We start from the raw sequence: 19,259 nt of genomic DNA on the forward strand, positions 1-19,259 counted from the left end.
AAGCTGATGCTCAAATTAATACAGAAATACAAAGACTAGCCAAGACACTCTTAAGGAAGAATAAGATGAGAGGATTTCCTTGCCAGATATCAAGACCAAGAAAGGATAGACAAAGCCACCAATAGAATAAACAGAGAACTCAGAAACAGACCCACTATATATGGACATTTGACACATAACAAAAATAGCATTGTGGATCAACGGGGAAAGGATGAGCTCTTCAATAACCAGTGGTGGGATAATTGGATATACATGGGGGGGAAAATGCTACATTAATTCCTACCTCTTACCATACACAAAAACAAACTCCAGATATATGAAGTCCCTACCATCACATCATTTAAAAGAATCATTTAGAAGAAAATATAGGAGAATATCTCATGACCATGGGGTAGAAAAGGATTTCTTAAACAAGACATAAAAAGCACTAACTATAAAAGAAAGTACCGATAAATTTGCTGGTATTAAAATTGCCCAAAGAGACACCCTAAAATATAGTGAAAAGAAGAAGAGATATTTGTAACACACGTAAGGAACAAAAGGCATACCTAGAACCTATAAAGAATGGCCAATATGATTTTTGGCATTTTTTGTTTTTTGTTTTTTTTTTTTTAGACGGAGTCTCACTCTGTCACCCAGGCTGGAGTGCAGTGGGGCGATCTCGGCTCACTGCAAGCTCCACCCTCCGAGTTCACGCCATTCTCCTGCCTCAGCCTCCCAAGTAGCTGGGACTACAGGCGCCCGCCACCATGTCCGGCTAATTTTTTGTATTTTTAGTAGAAATGGGGTTTCACCATGTTAGCCAGGATGATCTCAATCTCCTGACCTCGTGATCTGCCCGCCTTGGCCTCCCAAAGTGCTTGGATTACAGGCATGAGCCTCAGTGCCTGGCCAAGAGCAGCTGATATGAAAAAGGCAAGCAACTAAATAGAAAAATTGGCAAAATACTTGAACTGGCAATTTAGAAAAGAGGATGTCCAAATGGTGGATAAATATAAAAAGGGGCTCATTGGTCATTAGGGAGCTGCATTAAAACTACAATGAGATACTATATAACTACAAGATAGACAAAAATTTATAAGTCTGATAAAACCAATTATCAGCAAAGACGAGGAACAGTGGAAACTTGTATACACTCCTAGTGGGAGTAGTAAAAGGAGACACATTTGGGAAACAATTTAGTAATGTCTAATAAAGTTGACTGTGCACATGTATATCCTGCAATCCAGCAATTCTACACCTAAGAATATACCCTAGGGAAACTCCTGCCCATGGTCCCCAGGAGATATGTACAAGAATATTCATAGTAACACTGTTTCTGACAACCCAAAACTGGAAACAGCCCACATGTCCATCAGCAGTAGAATGAATAAATAGTTGTGAAGCACTACTCATCAAATAAAATGAATGAGCCACAATTGCACAGAACATGGAGATGTCTCTCAAATATAATTTTAACAGAAGAAACAATCACCAAAATAAATATATAGTAGCTTTCTATTTTATATAAAGTCCAAAAAATAGACAAAACTAAATAATGTATTGTTTAGGGATGCCCACGTAGGTTGTGCTGTTACTTATTGCTGCCATAACAAACCATACAAAAACTTAGTGGCTTAAAACAACCATGATTCTATTTGCTCACAATTCTATGGGCCAGGGAGTTGCACAGAACACACCAAGAATCACTCATCTCTGCTCCATGATGTCTGGAGCTTCAGCTGGGTTGCCTCAAATATCAGGTCTGGTTGGAACAGCTTGACTGGGGCCATAAGTATGGGGCCTTGGTTCTGGCTCTCAGCTAGGTTCCTCAGATCTCATCCATGAGGGCTTTCCACCTGGCTAGCTTGAGCTTCCTCATAGCATGGTGGTCTCAGGGTTGCAAGAAGAAATATTCCCCAAAAACTTATCCCAATGTGCAAGCACTTATTAAATCTCTCTTCCATGCTTGTTAATGTCCCATTTGTCAAAGCAAGTCATATGGACAAACTCAGAAGTCACTGTGAGAGGAGACTACACTAGGGCAGAATGGAGGGAGCCATGGTTCATTTAGGGGGCCACCAAAGTAATGGTCCACCACAGCTGAAAGTAAGAAAATAATATTCTCAAAAATAGTGGTTACCCTTCAAGATGAAAAAGGGATGCAATCAGGTAGGAGCACAAAGGGAGCTTTCTAAAATATTGGCAATATTCTATTTCTAAACTGACTGGCCGTTAACATAGGGTACATTTTATTCTTCTTTAAAATGTCAATTCCACTTGACTCAATATTATGCAGGCATCACAGTTTTCATTTGTATACTTGCAAATAATTTACAGTTTAATGTTTTCATTACAAGATAAGAAACAGGGAAATATATATGTATATTACAAAGACCCCAACTATTTATTAGAACCATTGGAAAGAGAGCTAGAAGTAAATAAACCTCCACACCTCCATGAGTGGTTGTGTCAGAGCGGTAGTAGAACCATGATTGATTAATATAAATTTTCTTTTTATATTTTTCTATGCCTCCCAAATTTTCCATAATAAACACATATCACTTTTAGAATCACTAAAACTTTATGGGGGTAAAAACATGAATCACACCTCCCACAAAATGTTGTCTAGGTTATTTGAAGAAACATGGATTCCCATGAGGGATTCTAGTAACCTCTGCACTTCTCCTGACTGGCTTCACTTTAGCATTCCAGTACTTCTCATTGTGGCTACCAGAAGTTAATTTCTGGAGCACAAGGTATCCCAGGCTTTTCAGAATAGACTCTGATAAAAATTAAATCAAAACCACTTGAATTCGTTCTTGGACATGAATAGTATTGCCAAGCCCTCGATTCAGTGCTAAAATGGGAACTGTCAGTCAGAAACAAAAGGGGCAAAAGGTGACAAAGAGTGATGAATTGAGGTGTCTTGCAGCCTCTCTATTTTGAATCACAAGATACTGAGAATTTGGCAGAATGGACTTTTTCTGCAGGTGATCTACAAATGTTCCGTCTTCTCTGATTTAAAATCATAATTGGAGGAAGTTAACTCCAAGACCTGCAGGAAGTTATGGAGGAGGAGGGGAAAGCAACCAACACCTAATAAATTAAGAACTTGGACTCTGCTGTCCAACTTACTCACTGTAAGACCTTGTACAAGTTCCTCCACCTCTCCAGGCCTCAGTTTCCTCATTCCTAAACTGGGGACTTAATAGTGCTACCTTTAGGGTTGCTGTGAGGAGGGAATGAAATAGTAAATGTAAAGTGCTTAGCACAGAGTCCAGAATATCAAAAGCACTCAATAAACTATAGCATCTCCCATTGCCAGGACAGGTGAGGCACCCACACAGGTCACAGCAGATGCCTAGGTATGGGCCAGCACTCTGCTGAGAGCTTCACATATAGTCAGCATTTTATATCGCATCTGACCCTCATGGTACCTAGGGATTAGATATTATTTTCCCCATCTTACCGATGAAAAAACAAACAGAAGATCTGAGCATCTATAACCCGCCCAAGGCCGCAGATCTCCTGCATAGCAGGGCAGTAGTTGAAGCTAAAGCTGTTTCCAAGGCTTCTCAGAATCTAGTGGACAGGAGAGGAGGGCTATACTCTGAGAAAACACTCCCACTTCTTTTTGTTCACAGTAACCACCACTGAAAGTAAAACTCTGAAATGTTTTGGGCTGATGTGAATACATGTAAGTAACAAGCACCGTGGAATCAAAAGACTGAAAAACACTACCAATGTCTGCAAATTACAATTACCAAGGTGGCCGGGCCTAAAGACTGAACTTCAGCGTGGAGGGGTCTTTAAAAACTCAAGGATCTGTTCCCAGACCTACTTACATTGAGAAAAACGCTTCCTGGGTCATCTCAGAATCTTGTAAATGTTTACATTGACTTTGGACCTGATATTCCTTTTCATATGATGCGATGGAGTGAGGAAAAGACCACAGAGGGCAGACAGAGGCAAAATTGCTCCCCTTCACCAAGGCTTATGGGGAAAAAGAAATGAACTTGCCTTTCCCGAGGAGTCCCCCCTCCTCGCAGGCTAGGAGCTATTCCATTCTTAGGCAGGATTTTATGAGAAACAAGTCTTCCTGGGACAAGGCTGGCTACAGAGAAATAAAACAATGTGCACAGACCTACCTTTTTCTTTCTTTTCCTTGTCTGCGTTCAGTATGACTTCACTGGCAATACTGAACTGGAGAATAAGAAGGTATACCGCTTTGCAAAGTTTGAAATTTTTGTTAAGACGGCAAGCTGGCTCAGGTCCTTTTTCCTGGTCTTCTCTAGCGCCGCGGTGTGCTCCTGGGAGCTGAAGCCAGAGACGGTTAAACTGCCTCACTCTCTAGGGTCTAAATGACTTTTCCTACCCTCTGCCATCAATCAACCCCCTGAGACCAGAAATTGGAGAAGGGCATTTCCCCTAAGACTCACAGAAACCCCGCCTTTAAAAAAATTCTCCACAACCAGAGTATGGCCCCTTCAAAAAACATCCATGTTATATCTTTAAGGCATTTCATCTCCCTCAATTCCTTCACTCAGCCTTAAGCACACCTTCAAATCCTTATGCAAAGGACTCAGGGAATTCAGGTGAGTTCCCCTGAGCCATGATTTTCTCCAAGGAGCTGATGTTGCACATTAGAACTAATAGGCTTCAAGTAACTGCAGCAAGACTAATATCTTCTGCTAATAATGCTGTGAGTGACTTGAGTTTCCAATGAGCTATTATTTGTAGAAAGACATTGACTTTACTCTTGGACTCTTGAAAGTACTTGACTGATCTGAGTTAATTAAGCCACATAAGCCTCCTGAAAGGCAGAGAGAAGACCCAGGAAGAAAAAGAGGAGGGAGAAGAACAGGAAAGTGTTGACTAACACTGAGATGCACCTGCCTGCTGGTCCAGTAATATTATAGCAAGTGGACCTCACTACTGCAGCCAGTGAAACCCCAGGGAAATTTACAGATCCTTTGTAACAACAGAAAGTGTCATTGACAGTGATTAAAATATTAGAATCATAAAATACTCAGAGCTCAAAGGGTCCTTAGAGATCATCTGGGACAACGCCTCATTTGAAGACTGAAAAAAGATGGCCGTTTCACTAAGTGAGAAGGGAAGACAGGCCTGCTGACCCTCACAACTCTTTCTAGGCTGCTGGCAATGAGCTAGCTGGGACCTTGGACTGATACTCCTTGCAGTAGAAGTGGCTGTGCTCAAACCAACTTCCCCCAGGACCAGGGGAGCCGAAGACTCCAGGGGCTTCAGGAAGCTCCCTAAAGAGCTGCACCTAAACGTAGACCTGGCTTAGCAACTGAATGCAAAATATTTGTTACTCAATAACAAGGCTGGTCCATTAAAAAGGACAGCAACAGAGGGTGAGGTTCTCTTGCTAGAACTCAGTCCTCAAATGCGTCCAGCTGCACCTTGACCCAAGCATGCTTCCCCCATAGGGTGCTGGAGATGATGGGGTGCCTCTTCTCACCCTTCTCCCAGTGAGCTCCAGCCCCTGCCACAATGTTTGCTGGTGTTCACCTATAGCCTTTGCATGACACCCAGTGACACATTAGCCCTTCCAGTCCTTTCCTGTGGTTGTTTTTCACTGAATACATTATGACTATCTTTCTACATAAGTAACCATTACATAGGAAAACATTGTCTTTTAAGAAATGACTGCATAGACATACTAGAAGGTAATAAACCAATCCCTACTGACTAGTTGTTTCCAACTTAGGTCCTTTCAATTTTTCACAATTAAAAACAATACAGTTGGCAGTAAATAATGTACAAACATCTTTGCATGTTTTCTAATCATTTCTTTCATATAAGTTTTTAGAAGTGGAATTGCTAATTCAAAGAATATGGACTTTTAAAAGGGTTTTGATATGATCTGCCAAGTTTTTTTGTTTTTGTTTTTGTTGTTTGTTGTTGTTGTTTTGTTTGTTCTGTTTTGTTTTTCAGAAAAATGGTATTAGGGTAGGTTCCCACCAAGACTTTTGAGATAGATCATTAATGACTTCAAATAGTTTCCTTGTGTTTCATTCACTTTCATTCTAATAGAAAATAACAGCCTAGTCAAATGCCAAATGGTACATTTCCCAGAGGTATGAATAAGTTGGATAACTTTCCTCACATTGTGACAGTTTTGGAGAAATGAACCCAGGTCACGACTGTCTTCATATCTCACTGCAGTGAGATAAAGGAGCTTTTTCTTTATGACTCATCTTAATTTTGATGAAGCTAGCTTTGGATAGTGATAGCTCCTGCATGGTGGAATTATGGATAATGGTTATTCTTTATTTTGCTTATCTGTATTTTCAAATATTTTTTGCAATGTCCTACTAACACTACTGCAGAGTTTCTCAACCTCAGCACTACTGACATTTTGATCTAGATAATTATTTGCTGTGGAGCTGTCCTCTGAAGCATAGGATATTTAGCAGCTTCCCTGGTGATATGGTTTGGATCTGTGTCCCCACCTAAATCTCATGTTGAATTGTAATTCCTAATATTGGGGAAGGGACCTTGTGGAAAGTGATTGGATCATGGGGGCAGATTTCCCCTATGCTGTTCTCATGACAGTGAGTGAGTTCTTACCAGGTCTGATGGTTTAAAAGTGGCACTTCCCCCACCTCTCTCTCTCTCTCTCCTGCCGCCATGTGAAGAAGGTGCTTGCTTTCCCTTCACCTTCCTCCATGATTGTAAGTTTCCTGAGGCCTCCCAAGAAGCAGAAGCCTGTACAGCCCACAGAACCATGGGCCAATTAAACCTCTTTTCTTTATAAATTACCCAGTCTTGGGTAGTTCTTTATAGCAATGTGAGAACAGACTAATACACCTGGCCTCTGCCCACTAGATGCCAGCAGCACTCCTAGTTGCAACAACCAAAACATCTCTAAATATTTCCAAATGTCTCCTACAGAGTCATAATTACTCCCAGTTGAATGCCATTGAACTAGTGTAATAGACAATACTAAGTAATACAATAATAAGATATTATATAACATTATATGATAGTATGTAGTAATAATAAACACTTACAGTGCTGTGTGCCAGACACTATTCCCAGTGCTTCAGGGATATCATCTTGTTGATTCTCTTCAACAATCCTTTGAGGTAAGTACTATTATTCTATCCATTTTACCTAAACGGAAACTGAGAACACAGAGGTTGAGTAACTTGCCCAAGGTCACACAGCTAGATAGTACAGGATCCCAGATTGAAACCCAAGAAACTTCAGAGCCCACGCTCACAATCATTTCCTGCAGTTGTCTCAGAAGTCTTTTTAAATATTCTTTTTAGTCATTTAAATTTTCCAACAAATCTCACAATATTTTAAAAGACACACAATAATACAATGAACATCTATATACTCATCACTTAAATTTACTATTAGGTTGGTGCAAAAGTAATTGCGGTTTTTGCCATTGAAAGTAACGGCAAAAATCGCAATTACTTTTGCACCAACCTAATAACTCTCAAGCTTTTTCCATACTTGATTCATTTGTCCCTCTTTATTTCCTCCGCTTTCTTTCTTTTCTTCTTTACATCTTTCCTTCTCTTTCTGTCTTCTTAGAAGTGGAATCTTTCTTCCTTTCTCCCTCTCTCCCTTTCTCCTTCCCTCCTTTCTTCCTTTCTGTTGTATTGTCCCTTACATAGGTCACTGTGAAGTTCTAAAAAATATTGATGTTTTCTGACATAGCCATCATGCCTATAACACTAACAAAATTAACGATTCTTTAGTATCAATTCATGTTCAAATTTCCTTGATTATCTCAAAATTTTATTTTAAACCTCTAAAAAGTCCAGCTTTGGACTAAGAAGAATGAAGTGGTGATTCCCAGCAAATTGTGAATCCTAAGGGAAGAAGGATGGAGTCATAGTACATTTCAGAAGAGCTCTATGTGGTCTGGGCTGCAAATGAAAAGAGAACACAGAGTCCCCAACGACCATAAGAACCTTTAAGGTAGGCAGGATTTGGGTTCCCCAGAAGCAAGACCCTGAGGCAGGGAGTTAAGTGCAGGTCGTTTATTTGGGAGGTGATCCTAGAAAGCACAGGCAGGGTGTGGGGAAGTAAGATAGAGACGGGAAGGAAAGCAATTCGGGGTAGGAAATCAGCCAGCTACCCCTGGGAAACTGGAGCACAAATTCCCCTGGAGACTCCAAGAAACAGTAGATTGGCCTTATTTATCCCAACTGTGGGCTGAAGAAGTCGGGGTTTTATCCACTGACTCCCCATCCATCCTTGGTCGAGGACAGCTCCAGAGCCATTCACTCTGGCACGTCCAGCTTTCCTTGCCCCCAAGGCCAGTGTTCTCCCTCAGCCAGAAGAAAAGCTCAGGGTGACAGGAGTTTTCAGGAAGCAGCCTAAGTGAAGAGGCAAATTCCAAGGGGTTAGCCCGGGCACCTGCAGTGTCTGCTAGGATCCCCGTTTACCAGTGAGGCTCATTTATTCTTTCACCAAACATGTATTGAATGCTTGCTTAGTCTTGGCCAGACAGTGTGTCAGGTGCTGGAGCTCACACACAGAATAGGCCTCCCTGCACTTGAGAAGAGCACAGTCTGTACACATGTGTAGAGAGATTAAATTGTCATACACTATGGTAAGTGCTATGCCAGAACTATAAGTTTTTGTGCCCACCAAAGGTGAGCAATTAAAATGAGTTTTTTTAAATAAAGCATTATAAAATATTATAAAATATAGAAGACCTCTGTCTAGAAGAGTCAGACAAATGTCCCCTCCATCATGATAGCCAGACACCCAAATAAGGCACTTAAATAAAACAAGGTAAAATACTAAGTGACAGGGTCAGCTCACCTAGCGGGTGAAAAGCAGAGCCAGGACAAGAAGCCACATTTTCTGACTCCTAAGCCAGTATTCCTTCCACTCTACCCACAGTCTCTAGGAGTTGAGATCTGGCACCAATCACAATGCCCAGCTCACAGTAGGTACTCAGTATCTTCATGACATGGACACAGAGCATTTGCTTGACCATGAGAAGGGAAAGTATAATGACCTAGTGCCCACTTACAGTCACTCTCCATTCCCACCCCCAGGGCTAGGCAACTACTAATCTATTTCTATCTCTATGGATTTGCCTTTTCGGAAAAGTTTGTACAAATGGAATTATATACCATGCGTTGCTTTGTGTCTGACATCTTTCACTAATCATAATGTTTTTGAGGTTCCTCCATGTTGCACATGTACTAATACTTTGTTAATTTTTATTGCCAAATAGTATTTCACTGCATGGTTATAACATATTTTGTTTATTCATTTATCAGTTGATAGACATTTGGATTGTCTCAACTTTTTGGCTATTGTGAGTAATACTATTATGAACATGTGTGTTCAAGTTCTTATGTGCATATATGTTTTCACTTCTCATGGGTAGATACTTAGGAGCAGAATTTCTGGGTCATATAGTAACTCTATTTTGTAAGAAGCTACAAAACTGTTTACCAAAATGGATGCCTCTCCTTATTTTATACTCTATTTTTATTTTGAATTATTTTAAAGTAAATTATAGTCCTCAAGATATACCATGTAGCCAAAAAGCATTATCCCACTTAACAAATTGTCAATAATGCTTATTATCACAAATTCAGATTTCCACTACGGTTTCCTGAAGATATGAACATTTGAGTCACTGGAAAGTAACACATCTCTCTGAAGATCAGTGAAGTGGCTTTCTGGTTTATATATCAGCCTCCTGTGAGTTTCGTTAGTCTGACCAAGTGAATGAACGATTTGACTGGCTGTTGGCTTGAGTCTTGGGCAGCCTGGATTTAAAAGATGAGCTGGAAATTTGGAGTGGGGACACTGGGAGGGCAAGTGCGTCAGCTGTGGGAGCCAAGCTGGATAGTGAGGTAAACTAAGGGAGTGAGGCCACCATATCAGGCCAAGGGTAAGAATAAGAAGTGGACGCCAGGGGAGATGACAGGAACAAAGCAAATGTGCTGAGAGGTTGAGATGAGAGAACACACAGACACTGGGAGAAAGGAAGTAACTCAATCACAGTGTCCAAGAAAGAAAGGGCTTTGTCCCTATTCCTGGTTCCCACAATGAGGGATTTTTCCTAATGCAATCTTGGCTTCTCCGTACTCTGAGGTGAGTTACTTATCTAGCTGGTAAATTTGGGAGAATAACTGGGTGTGCCTGGCTTGTTCTTCCTCCTGGAAGTGAAAGAAACAGGAAGTAGCCTGTCCCTTCACATGGAAGGCATCTTCTCCTCCTCCAGGCAGGGTCTGCCCAGGTCCAGTTTTCTCAGAATGGGGTAAAGTCAACTGAATTCTGAGGTTGGAGTTGATAAAGATGCTTAGCTAATAGACTGAAAGGCACATCCTCCAGCCCCGTCTCCATCAGTAATAGAGGCGTGTTTTGGCCTCCTTTGTTCTGTTCCTCAATTTCTTCAGCACCACATGGTGAAGAGAGGTGCCATTAGTGACTGCCCTTCAAAGATGCCAATATCCAGACACCCAAGGCCAGCAATACTTCCTGCCCTTACAATTGGTGAGATTTTCCAGTATCCTTTCAATAGTGTCCCTGGTTTAGAGTTACCTCAAATGGCTTTTTCTTCCTTGAAATAAAAGAATCTTGGGTAGAATAAGACATTTCTCTGAAAGTTAGGCTCAAAAGATAAAATGGCAATTGGTTTAAGTTTTTATTACTAATTTGGGAGACATGATGCAGGTAGGCAGAGAAGCACTTGTCTACATACATTTTTACATTAATTTTTTTGGATTAGAAATTTTATATTGTCAAATATGTTTAATAGATAGCAGTAATGTTAATGTGTTAATAGCAAAAAGCACCATTTCGAATGTTATCCTTCAAATATTTCTGAGCACAAAATGATTGATATTAATGAGTTAAAATAATTTCAATGGCTATGATAGAGTATAAATTTTAAAAAGCTGTTTTTTATTTTAATTTTAGATTTTTAAGCATGCCTTTTAAATTCCAGTTTTTTTCAGATTTGCTTTTGTTATTACTTTATTTACTTTAAATTTTTTATTTTTAACTATTATGGGTATGTAATAGTTGTATATATTTATAGAGTACATGTGATATTTTGATACAGGTATACAGTGTGTAATATTCAAATCAGCGTAATTGGGATGTCCATCACCTCAAGCATTTATCATGTCTTTGTGTTAGGAATAGTCTAATTCCACTCTTTTTGCTATTTTAAAATATACAATAAATTATTGTTAATTTTTACATTAACATTTATTGAAGCATCATATACATAAAGGAGCCAAACCATTGATGTACATCTGAATACATTTTCACAAATAGAACTCACTCATTTAACCAGCACCCAGATCAGAAAGGAGATAATTTTAGACCACAGAAACCCTCCTTGTTCCCCTTATGCCAAAACTCTTCAGTCACACATATTTGTGTGACTCCAATAAATTATAGACCTCAAGATATACCATGTAGCCAAAAAGCATTTTCCATGCTCGCCAAAAAGGAGGAGGAGCCGAACGTGCCTTCCATGTGAAGGGAGGGGCTACTTTCTGTTTCTTATAGACAGCTCACTTCCAGGAGGAAGAAACAAGGTCTGGGTTTTATCCAACATCTGGATACTCTTTTATTGTGTATGGTTTTTTTTTAACACTCAGAGGGTAACCTTATTTCCAAAGCTTTGGGAATACCATCACCATCGGGCCCAGGTAGCACTTACAGTAGATCAAGGTGCAACACTGTCAGATAATTTTGGCAAATCTAGGTAGATTATATGAATTTCTTCATCAGTTATGTTTTATCCACTTTCTGTCTTTTAGAGATCTCTCAATATTTTTGCTCTACTGATGACTTTCTATTTTCCAGGGCTGTGGTGGAATTAATCTTAAAATGCACACTCACCAGATCTCTAATCCCATTTCTCAATTTTGGGAGACTGAGAAAAGGGAGGCATATGAGTTTGGGCTGCCATATTGATCCAAGCTGCAAGTTCATTTTTCATGACTATGATATCTCAGTGTATTGATGTAATATGATTCATATAGCCAATTCATATTTTTCCATACTAAAATTAATGTTGCAATTAATATCCTTATATACGAATATTAGCATATGACTCTGATCGTTTCTGAAGAAACCTTTTTAATGCCTATTGAGTAAAATAGGAAAATAAGTTGGTAGTTTCTGTGTTAATAGATATATTATCAAAATATATACGATAGCAAATATATTATCTAAAGGCCAAATATGCTACAGTACTAATATGTTTAGTACACGAGAATTTTAATCAGGTTATGGCAAGATGTCAGTCAAAGGACACAAAATTTCTGTTGAGAAGAATAAGGTCAAGAGATCTTTAGTACATCACAGTGACTACAGTTAATAATAAATATGATGCCTGAAAAGATACAACATATTGATAAGGGAATAGATATTAAGTGTCCTCACCCCCAAAAAATGTTAAGTATGGGAGGTAACACATACACAAAATACTTGATTTTTCCATTTCATAATATCAAAACATCATGTTGTATACCATAAATATACATAATTTTTGTCAATTAAAAAATAATTTTTTGAAAAAAAAACAAATCAATCTTTTGGGGGATCAAACCACATCAGAACTCTCTATTTCCAACTCTTTGTGATTCCTTACAGTCTATTTCCTTGCCCTTTCTTTATTCCTGTCCCAAACATACAGAATCAAAAGAGAGACAACATGGGGAAAGATCTAAACTGTTGAATATGCTCAGTTCTCGAGAGCAAATGGATGTTTGGCTGGAACCACTCAGATACCTAAAAGGCTTTTATATTCAGAACCCTAAATTTAAAACCCTTAACTTGCACCATCTTTCATTTTTAACTTAAGATTTGTGAAAATTAGCCAGGCATGGTGGTGTGCACCTGTAGTTCTAGCTACTCAGGCGGCTGAGGTGGAATGATTGCTTGAGCCTGGGAGATTGAGGCTGCAGTGAGCCCACCACTCCATTCCAGCCCAGGCAACAGTATAAGACACTGTCTCAAACAAATAAACAAGAAGAGAGACAGAGAGAGAGAGAGAGAGAGAGAGAGAAGAAGGAGGAGGAGGAGGAAGAGGAGGAGGAGGAGGAGAGAAAAGAAAAGAAAGAAAGAGAGAGAGAGAAGAAAAGAAAAGAAAGAAAAGAAAAAAAGAAAAGAAAGAGGCCATGCACAGTGGCTCACACCTGTAATCCCAGCACTTTGGGAGGCCAAGGCAGGCAGATCACGAGGTCAGGAGATCGAGACCATCCTGGCTAACACAGTGAAACCCCGCCTCTACTAAAAATACAAAAAATTAGCCAGGCGTGGTGGCGGGCGCCTGTGGTCCCAGCTACTCGGGAGGCTGAGGCAGGAGAATGGCATGAACCCAGGAGGCGGAGCATGCAGTGAGCCAATATCATGCAACTGCACTCCAGCCTGGGCAACAGAGTGAGACTCTGCCTAAGAAAGAAAGAAAGAGAGAAAGAAAGAAAAGGAAAGAAAGAGAGAGAAAGAAAGAAGAGAAAGAAAGAAGAAAGAAAGAAAGAAGAAAGAGAAAGTAAGAAAGAAAGAAAGAAAGAAAGAAAGAAAGAAAGAAAGAAAGAAAGAAAAGAAAGAAAGAGAAAGAAAGGAAGGAAGGAAGAAAATAAAAGAAAAGGAATCTGAACAGACAAATAATAAAAGTAAGTGGAATGACTAAGTAATCAAAAACCTCCATGAAAGAAAAGCCCAGGACCTGATGACTTCACTGGTGCATTCTACCAAACACTTAAAGACAAATTAATGCCAATCAAATTAGTACATTGAAGAGATATCTGCAACCCCATGTTCTTTACAGCTCTATTCACAATAGCCAAGATTTGGAATGAAGTTGAGTCTGTTGATAGATGAATGGATAAAGAAAATGTGGTAAATATACACAATGGAACATTATTTGGCCATATTAAAGAATAAAACCCTGTCATTTGCAGCAACATGGATGAAACTGCAGGTCATTATGTAAGTGAAATAAGCTAGGCACAGACAGACAAATAACACATGTTCTTACTCATATGTAGGAGCTTAAAAAGTGGATTACATGGAGGTGGAGAGTATAATGGTGGTTTACTAGAGGCAAGGAAGGGAAATGGGAGGGAAGGGATAAAGAGAAGTTGGTTAATTGGGTACAAAATCACAGGAAAAAATAAGTTTTAGTGTTTGATGGTACAGTAGGGAAATTGTAGTTAAAAATTATTTATTATATATTTCAAAATAGCTGGAAGAAAAGAAATTGCAATAGTCCTAACACAAAGAAAAAATGAGATGATGGATATTCCAATTTACTCTGATTTGATCATTACACATTGTGTACAGGTATCAAAATATCACATGTACCTCAAAAGTATGTACAACTATAATACATCAATTAGAATACAAAAAGTACTGATAAAAAGAATGCCCATCCTTCTGAAACACTTCCAAAAAAGTGAAGAGGAGGGAATACTTCCAAATTCCTTTTATAAGGCCACCGTTATCCTGTAGTTTGTCTGTTTACTATGTTAATAGTTTATTTTGCTCTGCAGAAACTCTTCAGTTTAATTAGGTCCCATTTGTCGGTTATTGGTTTCGTTGCAATTGCTTTTGGCATCTTCATCATGAAATCTTTGCCCGTTCCTATGTCCAGAATGGCATTTCCTAAGTTATCTTTCAGGGTTTTTATAGTTTTCAGGTTTACTTTTAAGTCTTTAATCCACCTTGAGCTGATTTTTGTATATGGTGTAAGGAAGGGGTCCAGCTTCAATCTTCTGCATATGGCTAACCAGTTATTGAATATGGAATCCTTTCTCCATTGCTTGTTTCTGTGAAGTTTCAAAGATCAGATAGTTGTAGGTGTATGGCATCATTTCTGGGCTATTTTGTCCCATTGGTCTATGTGTCTGTTTTTGTACCAATGCTGTGCTGTTTTGGTTACTGTAGCCTTGAATATAGTTTGAAGTCAAGTAATGTGATGCCTCCAGGTCTGTTTTTTTTGTTTTTTTTGTTTTTTTTTTGTTTTAGCTTAAAATTGCCTTGGCTATTTAAGCTCTTTGGTAGTTTCAAATGAATTTTAAAATCATTGTTTCTACTTCTGTGAAGAATTTCATTGGCAGTTTCAAAGGAATAGTGTTGAATCTGTACACTGCTTTAGGCAGTATGGCCATGTTAATGATGTTGATTCTTCTTATCCATGAGCATGGAATGTTTTTTAATTTGTTTGTGTCATCCCTGATTTCTCTGAGCAGTGTTTTATAATGCTTGCTGTAGAAATCTTTCACGGTCCTTGTTAGCTGTGTTTCTAGGCATTTTATTATTTTTATGTCAGTTGTGAATGGAATTTCATTCCTGATTTGGCTTTCAGCTTGGATGTTGTTTTGGTGTATAGGAATGCTACTGATTTTTATACATTCATTTTTGTATCTGAAACTTTGCTGAAGTTGTTTATCAGATCAAGGAGCTTTTGACCAGAGACTATGGAGTTTTCTACATATAGAATCATGTCTCTGCAAATGGATAGTTTAACTTTTTTTATTTTGATGCTTTTTATTTCTTTATCTTACCTGATTGCTCTGGCCAGGACTTCCAGTACTATGTTAAATAACTGTGGTGAGAGAGGGCATCCTTGCCTTTTTCTGATTTTTAAGGGGAATGCTTCCAGCTTTTGCCCATTCAGTATGATGTTGGCTATGGATTTGTCATAGATGGCTCTTGTTTCTGAAGTTTGTTCGTTCAGTGCCTAGTTTATTGAGGGTTTTTAACATGAAGAGATGTGGAATTTTATCAAAAGTCTTTCCGGCATCTATTGAGATAATCATGCGGTTTTTGTTTTTAGTTCTGTTTATGTGATGAATCACATTTATTGATTTGTGTGTGTTCAACCAACTTTGTATCCCAGGGATAAAACTTACTCGATTGTAGGGGGTTGGCTTTTTGATATGCTGCTAGATTTGGTTCGCTAGTATTTTGTTGAGGATTTTTGCATCTATGTTCATCAAGGATATCGGCCTGAAGTTTTCTTTTTCTGTTGGGTCTCTGCCAGGCTTTGTTATCAGAATGATGCTGGCCTCATAGAATGGGTTGAGTAGGAGCCCCTCCTCCTCAACTTTTTGGAATCCTTCAGCAGGAATGGCTAATTTTTTTGTGTGTGGAAAACAGTGTGTTGCTATATTAACCAGGCTGGTCTCAAACTCTTGGACTCAAGCAATCCTCCTGCCTTGGCCTCTCAAAGTGCTGGGATTGCAAGCACGAGCCTGTCCGGTAGGTTGTATGTTTCTAGAGATTTATTCATTTCTTTCAGGTCATCCAATTTGTTGGCATACAACTGTTCATGGTAGGCTCTTATGACCCTTTGTATTTCTGTGGGCATCAGTTTTAATATTCCTCTTTCATTGATAATTTTATTTATCTGATTCTTCTCTTCTTACTTAGTAGTCTACCTAAAGGTTTGTCAATTTTGTTTATCTTTTCAAAAAAACCCAACTCTTAGTTTTGTTCATCTTTTGTGTTGTTTTTCTAGTCTCTAATTTATTTCTTTTCTTTACTATTTCTTTCCTTTTGCTAACTTTAGACTTAATTTGTTAATTTTCTTTGACATGTAAAGTTTGGTTGTTTATTTGAGATCTTTATTTTTTCTTAATGTAGGCACTTATCTATAAAATTCACTTTCAGCACTGCTTTTGCTGCATGCCATAAATTTTGGCATGTGTGTTATTTTTGTCTCAAGATACTTTTTGACTTCCCTTTATTTTTGTTTGTTTTTGTTTTGTTTTGTTTTTGAGACAAGGTCTCACTCTGTTGCCCAGGCTGGAGTACAGTGGTGCAATCTTGGCTCACCGTAACTTCCCAGGCTCAAGCAATCTTCCCCAGCTCAAGCAATCCTCTCGCCTCAGCCTCCCAAAGTAGGTGAGACTACAGGCACGTGCTACCTGTAGAGACAGGGTTTTACCATGTTGCCCAGGCTGGTCTCAAATTCCTAAGCCCAAGCCATCCGCCCACCTTGGCCTCCCAAAGTGCTAGGAATTACAGGTGTGAGCCACCACACCCGGTCCTAACTTCTCTCTTGATTTCTTCTTTGATCCATTCTATTCAAGAGCACATGGTTTAATTTCCATGTATTTATGGATTTTCTAACTTTCCTTCTGTTACTGATATCTAGTTTCACATCACTGTGGCTCGAAAAGATATCTCATATGATTTCAGTCTTCTTAAGTTTGTTAAGATTTGTTTTGTGGCTTGGTATGATATATCCTGGAGAATGTTCCACATGTACTTGAGATGAATGTGTGTTTTGCTGCTGTTGGATGGAAAGATCTATATATGTCTGTTAGGTCTATTTGGTCTATAATGTTGTTCAAGTCTGCTGATTCTTTTTTGATTTTTTTTGTCTGGATAATATATCCATTGTTGAAAATGGGGTATTAAAGACTCTTACTATTATTGTATTGCTATGTATTTCTCCTTTCACTTGTGTTAATATTTGCTTTATATATTTAGATTCTCCAATGTTGGGTGCATATGTATTTACAATTGTTATACCCTCTTGATGAATTGACCTTTTTATTTGTCTCTTCTGACAAATTTCAAAATAGACTGAAAGTCTATTTTGTATGATATAAGTATAGCCACCTCTGCTCTCTTTTTGTTACCATGTGCATGGGACATCTTTTTCTCTCTCTTTACTTTCAGCCTATATGTGTCCTTAAAGCTAAAATGAGTCTCTTGTAGGCATCATATATTTGGATTTTGGTGAGATTTTTTTTTTCTAATCCATTCAGCCACTCTATGCCTTTCGATTGGAGAATTTAATCTATTTACATTTAAAGTAATTATTAATAGGTAAGGACTTACTGTTGTCATTTTGTTTATTGTCTTCTGTTTTATAGTTTCTTTCTTTATTCCTTTCTTGCTGTCTTCCCTTGTGGTTTGATAATTTTTTGTGATAGTGTGTTTCAATTTCCTTCTCTTTATCTTTGATTATCCACTACAGATATTGTTTTCTTTGTAACTACCATAAGGCTTACATAAAACAGCTTATAGTTATAATAGTCTATTTTAACCTGATAGCAACTTAAATTCGATCACATACAAAAACTATACTTTTACTCCACCCTCAATATTTTATGTTAATGTTGTCACAATTTGCATCTCATTTCTTAATATTCTGTATCCACTAATAAGTTACTGTAGCTATAATTATTTTTAATACTTTTGTCCTTTAACTTTCACATTAGAATTAAAAGTGATTTATACACCACCATTATAATATTTGAGTTGTCTGGATCTGACTATATATTTTTTTACTAGTAAGTTTTATACTTTCATATTTTTTCATGTTTCATCCTTTTATTTCAACTTGAAGAATTCCCTTTAGCATTTCTTACAAGGCAGGTCTAGTGGTAATGAATTCCCTCAGTTTTTGTTTGTCTGGGAAAGTCTTTATCTGTCCTTAATTTCTGAAGAGCTTTGCTGGTTAAAGCATTTTTGATTGGCAGGGTGTTTTTTTTAATCCAGCACTTTGAATATATCATCCCACTCTCTACTGGCCTGCAAGTTCTTGCTAAGAAATCTGCTGATAGTCTTTTGCAGGTTCTCTTGTACGTGATGAATCACTTTTCTCCTGCTGCTTTGAAATTCTCATCTTCAACTTTTGACAATTTGATTATAATGTGTCTTGGCAATGATTTATTTATGTTCAATCTAATTGGAGTTCTCTGGGCTTCATGAATCTGGATATTCATTTCCCTCCCCAGATTTGAGGAGTTTTTCTATCATTATTTCTTTAAATAAGCTTTCTGCTCCCTTCTCTTTCTCTGCTCCTTCGTGTACTCCTATAATGCATGTATTGATTAATTTGATGGTGTCCTATAAGTACCATAGACTTTCTTTATTCTTTTTCATTCCTTTTCTTTTTGTTCTTCAGGGTGACTAATTTCAAATGACCTATATTTAAGCTGGTCGATACTTTAAAATGTATATGCCAATAGAAGCCACCCATGGTGGCACACACCTGTAGTCCTAGCTATTTGGGAGTCTGAGACAGGAAGATCACTTGATCCCAGGAGTTTGATACTGTAAAACACTGTGATCATGCCTGTGAATAGACACTACACTCCAGCCTGGACAACAGAGCAAGACCCCCGTCTCTCTTTTTAAAAAGGTGCCAATAGAGAAGTTGGAGGCACTAAGAAACATGGAACAGTCAAAGGAATTTTCACTACTTTCTAATTCCTATTCAAAGCAATGCCAGGCATCATTCAGATATTATCTAAGTAATTAATAGATAATATGGTTAA

At 38.3% G+C, this 19,259-nt stretch overlaps 2 long non-coding RNA genes across 8 annotated transcripts in view; one reads left to right on the forward strand and one right to left on the reverse strand.

Moving 5' to 3' along the window:
• The window catches only part of LOC105376016 (uncharacterized), a 28,481-nt gene extending 17,957 nt beyond the window's left edge, over positions 1-10,524 (forward strand). Inside the window, exons 5-7 of one of the 2 annotated variants that reach the window (XR_929554.3) lie at positions 7,786-7,947; positions 9,591-9,696; positions 10,398-10,524. This is a non-coding gene — a long non-coding RNA (uncharacterized LOC105376016). The remainder of the gene's footprint in view (positions 1-7,785; positions 7,948-9,590; positions 9,697-10,397) is intronic. The other variant, XR_929555.3, reaches the window with a different exon arrangement.
• LOC105376017 (uncharacterized) overlaps positions 1-19,259 on the reverse strand; it is a 104,021-nt gene that overhangs the window by 77,641 nt on the left and 7,121 nt on the right. For all 6 annotated transcript variants that reach the window (XR_929559.2, XR_007061451.1, XR_929558.3 and 3 more), the window contains exons 2-3: positions 7,023-7,136; positions 4,131-4,299 (exon numbers count right to left, since the gene is read on the reverse strand). This is a non-coding gene — a long non-coding RNA (uncharacterized LOC105376017). The remainder of the gene's footprint in view (positions 1-4,130; positions 4,300-7,022; positions 7,137-19,259) is intronic.

This window comes from Homo sapiens, chromosome 9 (genome assembly GCF_000001405.40).
Source record: "Homo sapiens chromosome 9, GRCh38.p14 Primary Assembly".
Classification (NCBI taxonomy): Eukaryota; Metazoa; Chordata; class Mammalia; order Primates; family Hominidae; genus Homo; species Homo sapiens.